This window comes from Homo sapiens, chromosome 15 (genome assembly GCF_000001405.40).
Source record: "Homo sapiens chromosome 15, GRCh38.p14 Primary Assembly".
In the NCBI taxonomy this organism is placed as follows: Eukaryota; Metazoa; Chordata; class Mammalia; order Primates; family Hominidae; genus Homo; species Homo sapiens.
The window spans coordinates 38,100,334-38,116,549 of NC_000015.10; positions in this window are offsets into that span (position 1 = coordinate 38,100,334).

Consider the following 16,216-nt stretch of genomic DNA (forward strand, 5'->3'; position numbering starts at 1 on the left):
TTAATAAATGGTGCTGGGAAAAGTGGCTAGCCATATGCAGAAAACTGAAACTGGACCCCTTCCTTATATCATATAAAAAAATTAACTCAAGATGGATTAAAGACTTAAACATAAGACCTAAAACCATAAAAACCCTAGAAGAAAACCTAGGCAATACCATGCAGGACATAGGCAAGGACAAAGACTTCATGAGAAAATGCCAAAAGCAATTGCAACAAAAGTCAAATTGACAAATGGGATGTAATTAAACTAAAGAGCTTTCGCACAGCAAAAGAAACTATCATCAGAGTGAACAGGCAACCTACAGAATGGGAGAACATTTTTTGCAATTTACCCATCTGACAAAGGTCTAATATCTGGAATTTACAAGGAACTTAAACAAATTTACAAGAAAAAAAAGCACCATCAAAAAGTGGGCAAAGGATATGAACAGCTCTAAAAATAAAACATTTATTAGACCAACAGACATGAAAAAAAGCTCAACATCACTGATCATTAGAGAAATGAGAATCAAAACCACAATGAGATACCATCTCACCCCAGTCAGAATGGAAATTATTAAAAAGTCAAAAAACAATAGATACTGGCAAGGCTGTGGAGAAACAGGAATGCTATTATATGGTTGGTGGGGATGTAAATTAGTTCAACCACTGTGGATGACAGTGTGGCAATTCCTCAAGGATCTAGAACCAGAAATACCATTTGATGCAGCAATCTCATTACTAGTTATGTACCCAAAGGAATATAAACCATTCTAATCATTCTACTATAAAGACACATGCATGTATGTTTATTGCAGCACTATTTACAATAGCAAAGACGTGGAACCAACCCAAATGCCCATGAATGACAGACTGGATAAAGCAAATGTGGTATACATACACCACGGAATACTATGCAGCCATAAAAAGGAATGAGATCATTTCCTTTGCAGGGACATGGATGAAGCTGGAAGCCATCATCCTTAGCAAACTAACACAGGAACAGAAAACCAAACACCACATGTTCTCACTCATAAGTGGGAATTGAACAGTGGGAACACATGAACACAGGGAGGGGAACGTCACATATCAGGGTCAGTCGGTGGGTGGGGGGCGAGGGGAGGAAGAGCATTAGGACAAATACCTAACACATATGGGGCTTAAAACCTAGATGACTGGTTGATAGGTGCAGCAAATCACTATGGCACACATATATCTATGTGACAAACCTACACATTCTGCACTTGTATCCCAGAACTTAAAATAAAATAATAATAAATTTAAAAAATAAAAATAAAAACAGTTGAAAAAAAATTTACTGTTCTGGGAACTTGGTAGACCCTTTCAACCTAGAGACTTGTATCTTTCAGTTGTGGAAAGTTCTCTCATATTATTTCTTTGATAATCCCTTCTTCTTCATTTTCTGTTCTCTTCTTGTGACATTTATTTTGGTTGAGGCTAGATCTTGTGGATGAATACTCTAATCATTTTATCTTTTCCTTCTCATTTTTTATCACTTCTTTTAGGTTTCTTCAACTTTATCTTCCAATCCTTATTTTGAATGTTTTTACTTCTGCTCTCATACTTTAACTTACAAACAAGTTTCCTTGTTCCTTAAAGTTCTCATAATGCATTTTCTTCTTTATTTTTCTGAGGATTTTTTTTCCTGAAAGTTTCTACTTGCTAAATTCTCTTTTCAAAAAATATTTGTTGGATTTAGTCTCTTTTTTATATTAGAAGAATCTGGTAAGCCTTCATTCTCTGTTTATATTTAAACAAGGCACTAAAGAGCTGATAAAAAGCATTTTGGGTAATTCATATGTTTGGTCAGAGTTTGATAACTGCTTGGCCTTACTGTAGTATGACCAGGAATATTTACTGGGTATGCCAACTGTTAGTGCCTGTAGGTTTTTTTTTCCTAAGCCAGTCAGATTTTCCAGATAAATCCCTCTATTGCCTGCCTGGCTGCAAGTGTTCTATCCGCCATGTAAGGAAAGGAAACTCAGGTTCACACTCCTCAGGCCGCAGATCGTCATTAATCCCTCAACTTTCAATACTGTTTCTCACACATATTCTCATATGCGTCTTGGGTTATTTAATCCCAAACCCTGCTGGTTAAACCTCTTTAAAAGGTATGCTTTATTTCAACTTTCTGCCAGAGGAGATGGAGGAGTCACAGCTGAACTGATTTGAGGAGGAATCAGGAAATCTAATTCTTCCTTTATAGAACCCAATTTTCAGCTCCACTCATACCCACTTCCAGAGTATCTTGCGTCCACTTCCTGAGTTTTTCTTTTTTTTTTTTTTTTTTTTGAGACGGAGTCTCGCTCTGTCGCCCAGGCTGGAGTGCAGTGGCGGGATCTCGGCTCACTGCAAGCTCCGCCTCCCGGGTTCACGCCATTCTCCCGCCTCAGCCTCCCCAGTAGCTGGGACTACAGGCGCCCGCCACCACACCTGGCTAATTTTTTTGTATTTTCAGTACAGAAGGGGTTTCACCGTGTTAACCAGGATGGTCTCGATCTCCTGACCTCGTGATCTGCCCATCTCGACCTCCCAAAGGGCTGGGATTACAGGCGTGAACCACCGCGCTGACCCAATTCCTGAGTTTTTCTTAGGTTCATCAGCAAGAATCCACTTGTTTCCTTTCATCCCACGTCCTACAAGTGCACTTAATTTTTTGGCTTTCCCTCCTTTACTAAGTCATAATGTCTTTTAAATTTTGATGAAATCTCTTTTACACTTCACATCTTGTTTCTCTGTTGGATGAGTTTAAATCTTTGTCACTTCTTTACTGTCAATTTAGTTGAGTTGGGGGAGATGATTCATGTGTTTCACCCACCATGTTGACTGCAGATGCCTTGGTCCTCTTTCCGCCATGCTTTGTTAATGACTAATATTCTCTCAGTATGAGTATATGCCAGGGGATAATAAGAAATACAAGAAGGTATAATATATATATAATTACTTTATACATATACATTAGAAAACCCTTAAACAAATTAACACAAATTTTAAAAATATCATAAAGTCCTAATTAGGTACTATATATGATTAAGTGAAAGGAAGTGATATATAGCTAACCACTGCAGGTATTCAAAATTGAGAAAAATCTCCTTCACCAAGAAAGTGAAGGCAGGTTTCACTAAACATGTAGGACTTAAATTTCACAGAATTTGCAAAACTTTTGAGAGAAGGGAATTCCAGGCGAGAATATAGAAAACATAGAGAAGGCATGGGGAATGAGAAATGAATTTGGTAAGAACAGAAGACTCATGCAAGGAAACTATAACTTGGTTATCATCAATTTCACCACTTAGGTGAAAAATATGCTAAGAAAAATATAAATAATAATTTTTAAAAAGCATTGTGCTGAGACTCCAGGTTGTGGTCCTCGCTGGACCTTGAACTTAATATATAATTAGGATGAGTCACTTACTGCCTCACATTCAACTTCCTACCCATAGTTTGTGAATTCAATATAACAGGACTGCCCTTTCTTCTTTATAGTGGAACTCCCAGGTACAACAATTAGCCTCTGCTAGAAGAATTAGCAGATGAAGGAGAAGATTCTATAATACCTGCTTTCTGAATACTGTATACAGAAGATTTGTGTATCAACATGGCTAAAAGTTAAAAAAAACAAAAACTAAAACTAAAAGCAGGTAGGTGGACTACAACTACAAAGACTATGGTAATGAACTTTTAGAAAGAGAGAAACTGAACACAGTATAAAAGATTCTCTGGGACAGCAAATATGCTGAAGGTTGTACCTACATAAGAGTTCAGAGTATAGTATTTGCACTCCTGTGTCTATTGCAGCACTATTCGCAATAACCAAGATATGGAATCAACTTAAGCGTCTATCAACACATGAATGCATAAAGAAAATGTAGAAATATATATATATATATATATACAATGAAATATTATTCATCCATATAAAATAATGAAATCCTGTCATTTGCAGCAACGTCGAGGGAACTGTAGGACATTATGTTAAGTGAAATAAGCCAGGCACAGAAAGATAAATATCACATGCTCTCATACATTGTGGGACCTAAAAAAAAAGCTGATCTCATGGAGGTAGAGGGTAAAATGGTGATTACCAGAGTGTGGAAAGGGTTGGGGGCACAGTGGAATGAAAAGAAGTTGGTTAATTGGTTTCAAAAATACAGTTACAAGAAATAAGGTGTTTAACAGCACAGGAAGGTGTCTATAGTCAACAATAATTTATCGTGTATTTCAAAATAGCTAGTAGAGAAGATTTGGAATGCTCCCAATGCAAATAAATAATAAATGTTTGAGGTGATAGATATCCCAATTACCTTGATTTGATTATTGCACATTGTATGCATGTATCAAAGTATCACATATAACCCCACAAATTTGTACAATTATTATGTATCAATAAAAAAGAGTTCAGAATATAACTTAGCACAGCATTAATGCATACTATCAAAAGAAGAAAAAGAAACAGGAAGAAACAATTCAATCTGGAACACTGTACATTTATAAGAAACTAAAATATAATTAATTTATTATCAGAAATGGCTTATAGCTATTTAGTGGGAGAGAAAGATTTGTAAATATATGAAATTATAAATACTGTTTATGGCATGCCAATATCTTCCAAAATGTACTAAAATCTGGATAACCAATCTGAACACTAGTAACTTTTGAGTTTTGTTCCTTTTTTTTTCTTTATTCTTCCTCCTACCCCAGACCCTTCCAGGACCCTTCAATATTCACAGGTTAATATTCCTCCTTCCATTTTCTTTTAGTTTTCTTGTTTATTTTGTTTTGAAAGATACCAAGAAATCCTTTGTATCAAACTCCCACGGCACCTCCCCAAATGGATGGATACTTGCCTTTTCCTTGGAAATGCTGAGAATAGCTAGATGTTTCCCTAGTGACCTTGCAAAGAAGCTGCCTTTTTCAGCAAGGTGTAAGAAGGACCTTGCTTCTATGAAGTGACCGACTGCCCTATCCCTGCTGAGACTCGCTACAGGAGCACAGCTCTTCCACTAGCAGCAACAGATGCAGTTGCCAAAGGCAGGCTCAATGCCGCACAGTGGCCAGAGAGAGGTCCAAGAAAGCCAAATTTGAAGTCACTTTCTTCACATCTGAAGAGAAACTGTGTTCCTAAATTACATCTTTATTTACAGAAAAAGCCAACTGTCTGTAATTACTGTCAGTGCATTTTTCATGTGTGTTGTGCTGGATGCCTTCTACTTGCCCTTCCAGATCCACTCTCCATTGTACTCTGTGCCTTGCTAGGCTGACCTACGAGGACCACATAAACAAGACTACCCTGCCCTCTGGCCTCCCACTGGGTTTTGGCCAGTGAGAGCGTTGGCAGGATATCAGAGGGTGGGACGAGAGAGAGAGAGAGAGAGAGAGAGAGAGAGAGAGAAGGTGTGTAGTCTTCTGGTCTCCTCCCTGTGAGGTGGCCCTGGGTTGGACATGTCCTTTCATCTAGGGTCAGTGTGCCTCTCCCAGTGACCTTCTCCACACCATTTTTTGTTCAGGCCCAGGAACTGCTCCTTCTTCTGACCCTTCCAGATCTAGGTGTAGGGACACTTCACACTTTATCCACAGCCCGTAGCCTCAGGTGGCTGCATGGTATCTTGTGATTCCATTATGCTCCATCCCCCACCGCACACACACCTTTACAAACAGTCTTTTTGTAAACAAACTCTCCTGGAATCTTCTTACTTTGCGTCTGCCATCTGTTTTTGGCTAGAAACTGACAGAGGTAATCACTCAAGAAACAAATCTATTCTTTTATTTATTTATTTATTCATTGATTTATTTTTTGAGATGGAGTCTTGCTCTGTCACCCAGGCTGGAGTGCCGTGGTGCAATCTTGGCTCACTGTAAGCTCCGCCTCCCGGTTCACGCCATTCTCCTCCCTCAGCCTCCCAAGTAGCTGGGACTACAGGCACCCGCCACCATGCCCCACAATTTTTTTTTTTTTTTTTGTATTTTTAGTAGAGACGGGGTTTCACCATGTTAGCCAGGATGGTCTCAATCTCCTGACCTCGCGATCCGCCCACCTTGGCCTCCCAAAGTGCTGGGATTACAGGCGTGAGCCACTGCACCCGGCCACAAATCTATTCCTGATAAAAGATTTTATTTAAAACGTTTATACTTGAAAAAATGTTAAAATATTATTAATATAGCAAGTAAAAACATTCCAGCTTTGAAGTCAGAGAAAGGTTAGTTCGAGTTTAAACAACTGAGGCTCTGAAAGTTTTGAGTATCTTGTCCAAGGACACACAGTTTATAAGAGGAATATCTGGAACTTGAACCATCTGAGCCTACCAACATACTTTTCAGCTACCCAGTCTTTAAGACCAAATTCAAGTTCATTGTCTGGATTAAGCTTCCTTCAGAATAATTAATCATTAGCTAATAAATATTTATATTATTATTATGATTGTTTTTATTAGCTAATATGAATGGAGAACTTGCCTTATAGGAACTCATTTATCTCAATTCATCATTTAAACTCATTTAAAATTATGTCACTTAATCTTCACACAAATTCTATGATGTAAATATCATTATCTTTATTTTCAGGTGGGACTTACTGCAGATATATTTTTTTCACACAGGATATAAGAATGGCTGCTTTTGATTTTCCATCAGTGTTATACTACCAGACTTCTAAAAGGAAAGTTACTTTGAGATTTTATAGAGTATCAAGATCAGAAGTCACTTCATTTGTTGCCAAATATAGTGACCACCTTGCCCAGAAATCCTCCCCAAGATGGTCATAAACAAGTACCATTGCATATATCTGTAACTTCATTAAAAAGGAAAACAAGGGCCATCATTCTGCTATCAGTACCATGAATTAATCACTAGCTTTAATTAAGAATCACATTGCAGACGCCTCTATAATTGGAGAGTTAATTTAATGAGCTATTACAAGTTAAAGTAATTTCCACCTCCTTGAACTTAACTGTGTTGAATGGAGTATTTTCAGGAAACCTTCATTACCTGCCCCATTATCCTAAGCCTTCCAGGCCATCTACTTTTGATCGTGTTTGACTACAACATAGGGAGCAAAATCCTGCAAGGGTTTGAAATCAGAAAGAGGATGACAGTATGTTCATGAAGCAGATATACTTTTGTTGCCCAAAGTTTACATATGTTAACAGATTTAAATTGATCTATGAACAATGTCAGTTGCCATTTCTTGATTATTCATATAAATTAAAGGATGGCTTAATTTAATTTGTACCATGTGTGCTCTCTGGAAATAAAGTTGCTAAAGATTTCAGTTCTTATTTTTCAAGAGATTGGAGAAGAAAGACTACCTACTATTTGCCAGCATTTAGCTATATTTCATAAGGGGCAGTTTATTTCGGAGCCTATAATCTAATCAAGAAAACCATGGATCTGATGTAACTTCCCCCTACTCAGCTCCAGTGCCTCTCCTAGAAAAGACCATAAACTGCAAACAAAAGAAATAAAGCTGTATAGGATTTCACCACCAGGCACAGTCCCAAATCAAGACATGCAATTTTAAGGGTCTTGACATCATGGCCAAAATAGACAAAGCAGATGTGGTTAGCTTGGTTGACCATGGAGTATTGGGAAAAAATGGCAGCAGCATACATTAACCCGTGTACCCAGAATCAAAGAACGAGGTGCGTCTGAAGACAAGAGAGAAGGATTTGTGATTCTTTACCAGTATTGGCTTGTATGTATGTGAAGACAAACCTATTCATTGAACACTATCACTAAATAGCTCTTTTTCAGCACCTCCATTTTTTGGGGAAAAAAAAAAAAGCCCAGGTGCAGTGCCTCACACCTGTAATCCCAGCACTTTGGGAGGCCAAGGGGAGCAGATCACTTGAGGTCAGAAGTTTGAGACCAGCCTGGCCAACATGGTGAAACCCTGTCTCTACTAAAAATACAAAAATTAGGTGGGCATGGTGGCGCACACCTGTAATCTCAGCTACTCAGGAGGCTGAGGCTGGAGAATCGCTTGAACCCGGGAGGCAGAGGTGGCAGTGATCTGAGATCATGCCGCTGTACTCCAGTCTGGGTGATAGAGCGAGACTCAGTGTCAAATATATATATATGATATATATATAATATATGTCATATATATATTATATATATATCATATATATGTAATATATATATTACATATAATATATATATGTAAATTACTGCAGTAAATTCTAGCACCTTTTTGATAGAGGGTCTCCAATACGAGAGCAAATAAGAAAAAGAGGAAAGTTTTTGACTTATCTCATATATAGCTCTATCAAGGCTTGGTTTCCGCAGTAAGAATGGGTAGGACCTAAAGTTCTTGCCTGAGTTTCCCAACTCAAGATAGATATACTCTGCCTCTACTTACTCTTGTCCTCTATCCTAAGAATAGGTAGGGAGGGAGGATCATGTCACAGCAGCAGAATTGTTTCTAACCTCATTTCTGCCTCTAAGCCACTTTGTGTCTTTGGCCAGGTAACATAACACCAAGCCTGAAAGGTAAAGTTGAATTGTTACATAGACATGAATTTTAGAAACTTTAAAGCGTTCTACAAATGAAGGTTGAATGACAAGAAACTTAGCTCTATATTTCTGTTTCTGGAGGCCGAGGCAGGAGAATCACTTGAACCCGGGAGGTGGAGGTTGCTGTGAGCCAAGATCGCCCCACTGCACTCCAGCCTGGGTGACAGCAAGACTCCGTCTCGAAAAAAAAAAAAAAAAAAGAAAGAAAAAGAAATAAAAATCTAGTTATTAACACGTCAGTAGTAAAAAGAAGTACAAAATTTTCTCATTGATATTTTTGTAGTCAATAAAAAAGGTAATTATAGGCATAAGGCAATACAGTTATACATTTTATGTAATAAAAATATATTAAGTTTTTAAAATGCAGCTTATAAACTTTATTTTCTGAATCACCTTTATGGAAAAAAGGTTCTTAGACCAATGTCGTAGATAGACTCAAGGGTAATTTTACCAATGGCTTAGATACAATCAAGGTTAATAATTCCATGAGAGGTAATAGAGTTATAAATGAACTTTAAAAATAACATTTTGTATCTGATTGCCAAGAGTAGTGCATGCTTATTGGAGAACATTTGGAAAATACATATATATATATATATATATATATTTTTTTTTTTTTTTTTTTTTTTTTTTTGAGACGGAGTCTTGCTCTGTCGCCCAGGCTAGAGTGCAGTGGCGCAATCTCGGCTCACTGCAAGCTCTGCCTCCCAGGTTCACGCCATTCTCCCACCTCAGCCTCCTGACTAGCTGGGACTAAACATCATTAATATTTTTAAGTATTATGATTCCCTTTTGTCCCCTAGTCAAATTATGTATGTATTGCTCCTTATAAAATGTTCTCTCCTTCACCAAAGATTAGATCATATTGACAATTGTATCCACCTCTATGCTACCTTCTGGTTCCATAAAGTGATGGTACTAGACTCAGTGGGTGAGATCTATTCCTTGATAGTAGTTTTTTTTTATATGGTCTATGTTTTAACAGAGCAGAGAAAGGAGTGAAGTTAAGAGTGTGGTAGGCAGAATTCTAAGATGGTTCTCAGGATACCCAGACCCTGGTGTACGCACATCTTCTCCCAGGTATTCAATCAAACACAGATCCAGGTGCTCCTGTAAAGGAATTTTGCAGATATATATAATTAAGGTCTCAAATCAGTTGACTTTAAGATAGGGAGATTTTCCTCAATAGGCCTGGCCTGATCAGATGAACCCATAAAAAAAGACAGGGCTGGCCGGGAGTGGTGGCTCAAGCTTGTAGTCCCAGCACTTTGCGAGACCGAGGTGGGCGGATCATCTGAAGCTAGGGATTCAAGACCAGCCTGGTCAACATGGTGAAACCCCGTCTCTACTGAAAAATACAAAAATTAGCCGGGCGTGATGGCAGACACCTATAATCTCAGCTACTCAGGAGGCTGAGCCAGGAGAATCGCTTGAACCGGGGAGGCGGATGTTGCAGTGAGTGGAGATTGAGCCAGTGCACTCCAGCCTGGACGACAAGAGTGAAAATCCATCTCAAAAGAAAAGAAAAGGAAAAAAAAAAGACAGGGCTATTCCTAAAGAAAGAGACTTGAAGCATGAGAAGGATTTGACGAAAGAGAGATGTTCCATTGCTGGCTTGGAAGATAGAGGGGGACACATGGCAATGGATGTGGGCAGCTCTAGGAGCTGAGAATAGGCCTCCAGCTGACAGCAAATAAACAGGTACCTTGGGCCTATAATTGCAAGGAACTGAATTTGCCCACAACCTGAATGAGCCTGAAAGCACATTCTTCTCTATGTCCTTCAGAAAGCCCAACACCTTTATTTCAGCCATCTAAAAGCCTGAGTGGAGAACACAGCCATGCCATGTTTGGGCTTTTGACCAACAGAACCATGAGTTAATATGTGAGTGTTTTTTTAAGCTGCTATTTGTGGTATTTTGTTAGACAACAATAGAAAACTAATACAGAGTCCTATTTTCAAAGGCCTCTGATTTGCTTTAAGAAAAGTTGTTCATTCCTTTTTATTGTTGCTGTAGTATTCTACTGCATAAATGTACCACCATGTATTTACCCAGTCAGCTGTTGAGGAGCATTTGGGTTGTTTCCAGTTTGGAGCTATTATGAATAAAGTTGCTATGATCATGTGTGTACAAGTGCTTTTTGAGGAACATCTGGTGCTAGTTTCAAGGCCAGCACAGGAAGCATATAAGGAACAATTAACTCCGGGATACATCAGGTCAACATCTCACCTGTTATTCAGTCAGCCCTCATATATTAGTTCTGATCCCTGAAAATCAAGGGCCATGGATGGGTCCCTCAGCCTATTTCCCCATCTAGTCTTAGGCCATGCTCCACAATGCCTGCTTTGAACTTTTTGGCAGTCCTATACAGATAAAAAGCCTAAAGATAACCAGAGACCACAGCAGCTTACTTTCAAATTAGCTAGCCAATGAAAAGACAGTAAATGAGCAGAACAGAAATCACCTGGTTTCCATACTTATGAGTGAAAATAAGCTTTACCACGAATGCTAATGCCAGTACCTCTGCAAATTCAATGCTCTTAACAATGCTAGTAAGACTTTCCACTGGTTATCATCCCATTTTTCCTTCCCCAAAGAAACTATTAGAGAAGCATTTTATAATCACTGATGCCATATTTCTCACCCAGTGATAGAAGAGAATAACAACTTCACAGGCTCTTTTTTATACAAAAAGTGGAGAAGAATAAGTTTGGCAATTTACCTAGAAATTCGGTAAATCAACAAGAGAGTAAGAATGCAGGTGTCTGGAATTCCCAGCAGGTACACTCTACATAGGCAAATAGTGCTTTTCACATGAAATAAACCTAGAATAAGAGACACTAGAAATACAGTCAGCCACAATGAATACTTACATAGTTTTAGCTTAAGCTTAACTTTTTTGCGAGTGTTTTTCCCCCGGAGGGGAGGGGTGAGATTTCTTTTTAATCTAGTTGGTTGGTTGAATGAGATTTGTTTTTGTCAATGTCAAGAGCCACAGAAAACAAAATGGAAAAGGGGAGAGGGAAATACTGACTTGGGAAGCTTTCTCCAGATGTTCCATTCCAAATTTATATTGCCTCAAAATGCCTCTCTTGGTTGATAAAAGACTATCAAATTATCAGATACATACAGGTTTTAGAAATGCTTACTTCAAGAATGATTGTCAGTCATGAGAGGTAGTACATTGAAGTAACCAACATTGAGGAAAGAGAATTGTTACAGAAACTGGCATGATGAGATGTATAATTTATTTGAGAAGAGAGAGAAATTTTTCCAGACAGATAAAAGTGGGCTACATAACAGGAACATGTCAACAGAACTACTGGAGAAGGTAAAAATGCCTTTAGCGTCCAGCTAATTTTAGAACAAGCATTTTCGGCTAAATACAATATCCATTTGACCACCCCCTGCTTTTTGAAACCCTGGCTGACTGTGAAGTCCTTTCTTCTATCTGAAATCAACAATAACCATCACCACTTAATTCTCCCAACTTCTTTCAGCATTGGGGCCCTCTCAATGACCTAGCTTGTGCCTGTTCATCTGTGTGTGCGTACGTGCGTGCGCGCGTGTGTGTGTGTGTGTGTGTGTGTGTGTTTTCTCGCCAGCTTCTCAGACTTGTTCCCATTCATCCAACACTAGGTCCTTACCTTGAATCCCTGAACCATTTCCCACTCTGAAGTCCTTGATTGGTAGCAACAGGATGTTATTGGCAGGAGAAAACCTTTCAATAAGTAATCCTTTGACCTTTTTAGTCACTCTAAACTAGGAGCACTCGGTGTGAGTGGGACTCTGGAACTTCCATATCAATTATTCATCTAACCGTACCCAAAGCCCCAGGGAATGGCTCATTTCCTTTTGGGATGATTCTTTCTCATATTCCTTTGGGCTCCCCCATTGCTTTTGGCACCTGCCTGTTTTGTGAGTTACATCTTGTAAAGACTTTATAACCCAAGGGCCAATGCCATGGTTTTGAGACTATCCTTTATTTGTTGTAGAACTGTCCCACAGGTGATTTTAGGAAACACTACTCTTTGGCCTACAGAGTCAGGGAGGGCCAATGCATTTAATAATACCTGCAATTCTTAAGGGAATAACCCCTACATTCCACCGGAGCAGGCAGCTGCCTCGGGCATGGAGCTTTTATAAATTTCCTGTTGTGTTAGAGTCAATTCCAGTTTGTGAAATTGAGTCTCACAGAGGGAGGTCAGTAATTGGTAGCACCTGGCTTGGATGAAGGGCTTCACTCATATGAGAGAGAGAGAGAGAGCATGTGTGTGTGTGTGTGTGTGTGTGGGTGTGTGTAAATACAGCAGCTTCTCACAGGTAAAACTTTCTACACCAAAGTAGGATCTTAAGACCATTTTTCTTCATCTTTCTTCTCTGTTTGCCAGGGTTTGATCATTTCCTGAAGGAAAGACTCCCCTGAGAGAGGGAGCATAAGGGAAAGGGCAAGTCTAACTTCTGCCACCAACTAACCTTGTGAACTTAAGTTAATAATTTAGTTCTTCATTTGTAAAATGGGAAAGTATCCTCTTGGCCACAGGATGCCTCTTGAATACATGATCTCCTAAGAATCTGTAGTTCTATGATTGATCTACCTGCTTCATATGACTAAATATATGACAACCCTAAGAAGCCTCCCATGTGGCCACAAAGATATACACATGTAGGGATATGGACACATACATTGTATCTACTCAAAATGTTTAGTTAACTAGTTATGCATACATATTCAAAATCATATTTATAAAATAATCTGTTGATTTTTAAAATACTGTATTTTTCTACTTTCATTTTGTAAAACGATGTTATTCCTCACCACTGCCATTTTGTGACTAATCCAACAGTTTTCCCAGCACATCATCATCACTTCCAAGTTATTTGAGATTTAACACTGAGTCCATGCACAATGCTGTCACTAGAAATGTTATCCCAAGTCACCAACACCCATTTGCATCACATGCAGTCATTTTTTCATTTCCTATACGACTATATTTGTAATCTCCATAATGTATCACTTAGCGTATTGCAGTTTTACTTGATCTCTAAAAGGACTATTTTTAAAAATTCTAACACTTGCATTTCAGGGCTAAAAACTTCAGGAATGACTACTAAATCAGTGATACATTTCTTTTTTTCTCTTTTTAAGTAGTTCTAACAGATGATCTTCAAAAGCATCAACAACAGACATTAACTTAGATCATTTCACCCCAATTCATCTTCCACTAACAGTAGTTTTTTATTCCAAGTTTGGTATCAAGAGAGCACCAAAAGATGACTAAATAAGGATGTGTACAAAAGGTGACTTCCTTTTTTTCTGGGAAATAATTTTGGAGACAAAAAAATTCACCTTATATTTGGAAAAATGGGTATACATAAGGCCATGAGTCAAATTAATTTCAGAAATGTAAAAGTAGCATATGCTTTGTTTTTCCTCCACTTATCCTTGGAACCCAAAGTCACATCATTCTAAGTAGACGATTTATTTTAAGATTATATTATTATTATTCTCCATTTAAAAGGAAGCATCAGAATTTGATGTATCTGCTCAAACAACAAGCCTCACTCTACACTGCAAGAAAACTAAAAGCAAGCTCTTTTAAAAGTAACCACCCCAGTGGTTTATCAGGCACAGCCCAACACTGGCAAAGATGGTAGAAAAAAGAGTGAAAAGTTCACTCAGTACTCTTTGCTTTCAGTTTTCCCTCAGAATTCAACTTTCCAACAATAATCTGAGCCCTGTCTTCTTCCTCTGAATTTTGTCCTTTACATGGAAGGGAAAAAAATGCTGGTGCCTATAATAGTTGCTGATAGTTACTGCCTTAAATTTGCTCTCCTGGTCATGAGAAAGTGTTTCCACTTTCTAGTGACCCTTCCCACGTACTAGGGCATTCTTGCCAGGACTCAACTATGGAAACTTATTCCAATTAGGCAGGAAATGAAAAGAAACCTGTCCTACCATTTGGCTCAAAGTAAGAACGAGTATATATAGAAGAGTCCCAGAAAAAAAAAAAAAGGCAAGAAAAATAAACTCAGCTTCCTACCACCAACACCACCACTGTTTTTTGTCCCCAACAGAAACCTACAGGCAATCTGTTCTCCATAGATGTTAAATATTCAAAATTCTAGGAGGGAAGTGTTATGAGTGACTAGAGCAAAAAAAATGGAGCAAAGCTGTTGTGTTCTCTTTGACTCTATTACAGGCAAAGCTATTTGTATGACCCATTGTCCAAATGCCTCCTTCACCTACTTCAGCTGGGGGATGGGAAGAAGAAAGAGGCTTTGGCCGCAACAACAAAATAAGTCAGTTCTAAAGACACCGAGAGTCACCTTTTTAGAGCTCAACTTTTATTTCCACCTGAATGAAAAGCTCAGTCTGAGGTGAGAGCATCCTCAGGCAGCCAATCATTGGGATGCATAGTTCCTAACCCTTTGGAGTCACTGGGAAATCCCAGTGATGAATGTCCCCTTCCACATCCTGGACATTTGTCACTCAATTTCACCAGGTCTCTGTTTCCTCTCTTGAGGCAAAAAAAGAGAAAGGTCTCCCAGTGTCTTTATTAGGAGAATTTTGAATAGAATTGTTTAAGAAGAGGATTAACATTGACTTGGTATTGAAAATGGCCAACTCCTCTAGACAAAAATCTGAAAATAATTCTGATAAAAAGAGCAATTCTGCTTGTGAGCAAACCAGATGGCTACACACCCCTTCATCCAGTCTGTTGGTTTTCACATTGCTGCCTTGGAAGTTTCTCCCCAGAAAAACACATGGACGTGAGACTTTCTGACTGAGTTAGGAATCTGGTTCGAAAAAGGGCCTATCCACACTAACCCCTAGGTCTGCCCAACATAATTGCCCGCTTCATTTTCTTCAGGATATTTTCCCTGACAGATTGACTACACTTCTGAATAACTAAATATATCACTTATGGTCAACAAAGAGAAAACATTGAGGCTTCTTTGTGGAGCATTCAAACCAAAGCTTAGCGTTTGACCAAATTCCCTGGATTCATGCAGTAAATTGGGTCCAGGTGTGCTCTGAAGAGTTAGAACACTCATATTTAGAAAATTTCTCAGCTTCTACTTGAATGTTTATTTGTAGAGCTGATCATTAAAGCATGAGTAGAAAGAACATCAGAGGCCATCTATTAAGGGAGGCTTCCTGTTTCATCAGGAAGTGGTGATTGAACACCTTATAATCCCACACAATCCCACTTCCTCTAAGTAATTGTCATATCCCAAAAAGATGTGATAATTAAAGTTCAATCTTGGAACTCACACAATTGGTGCTAGGAACTGACACAATTGGTGCTAGGGTGAGTGTCAATTGCCCAAGACACTGTGGGAGTCCATTAAGAAAAAAAAAAGTTTATCATCTCAGCAAATACAGGATTACTGACAATAGCTTGGATTGACCAAAACGAGCATTAGTATGGACTCAACTATTCTCCAGGTTGGTATGGAGTTCTCAGCAATGGGTGAAGAGTCCATGGATGAACTTTAGAGTGGACCTTCTAAAAATATTGTGGAAAAGCACATGTGCATTTTAGAGGGAGGGCCCATAGCTTCTTTCATACTGTCATAGGTCATATTGTACCTAACAAAAGCCGTTAATGACCATAAGCACTGTACATTAAGATGTTATAACCTCAAGACTTGATTTTACGAAGTCAATCTTTGACGTAAATTCAGTGCCCTCTTC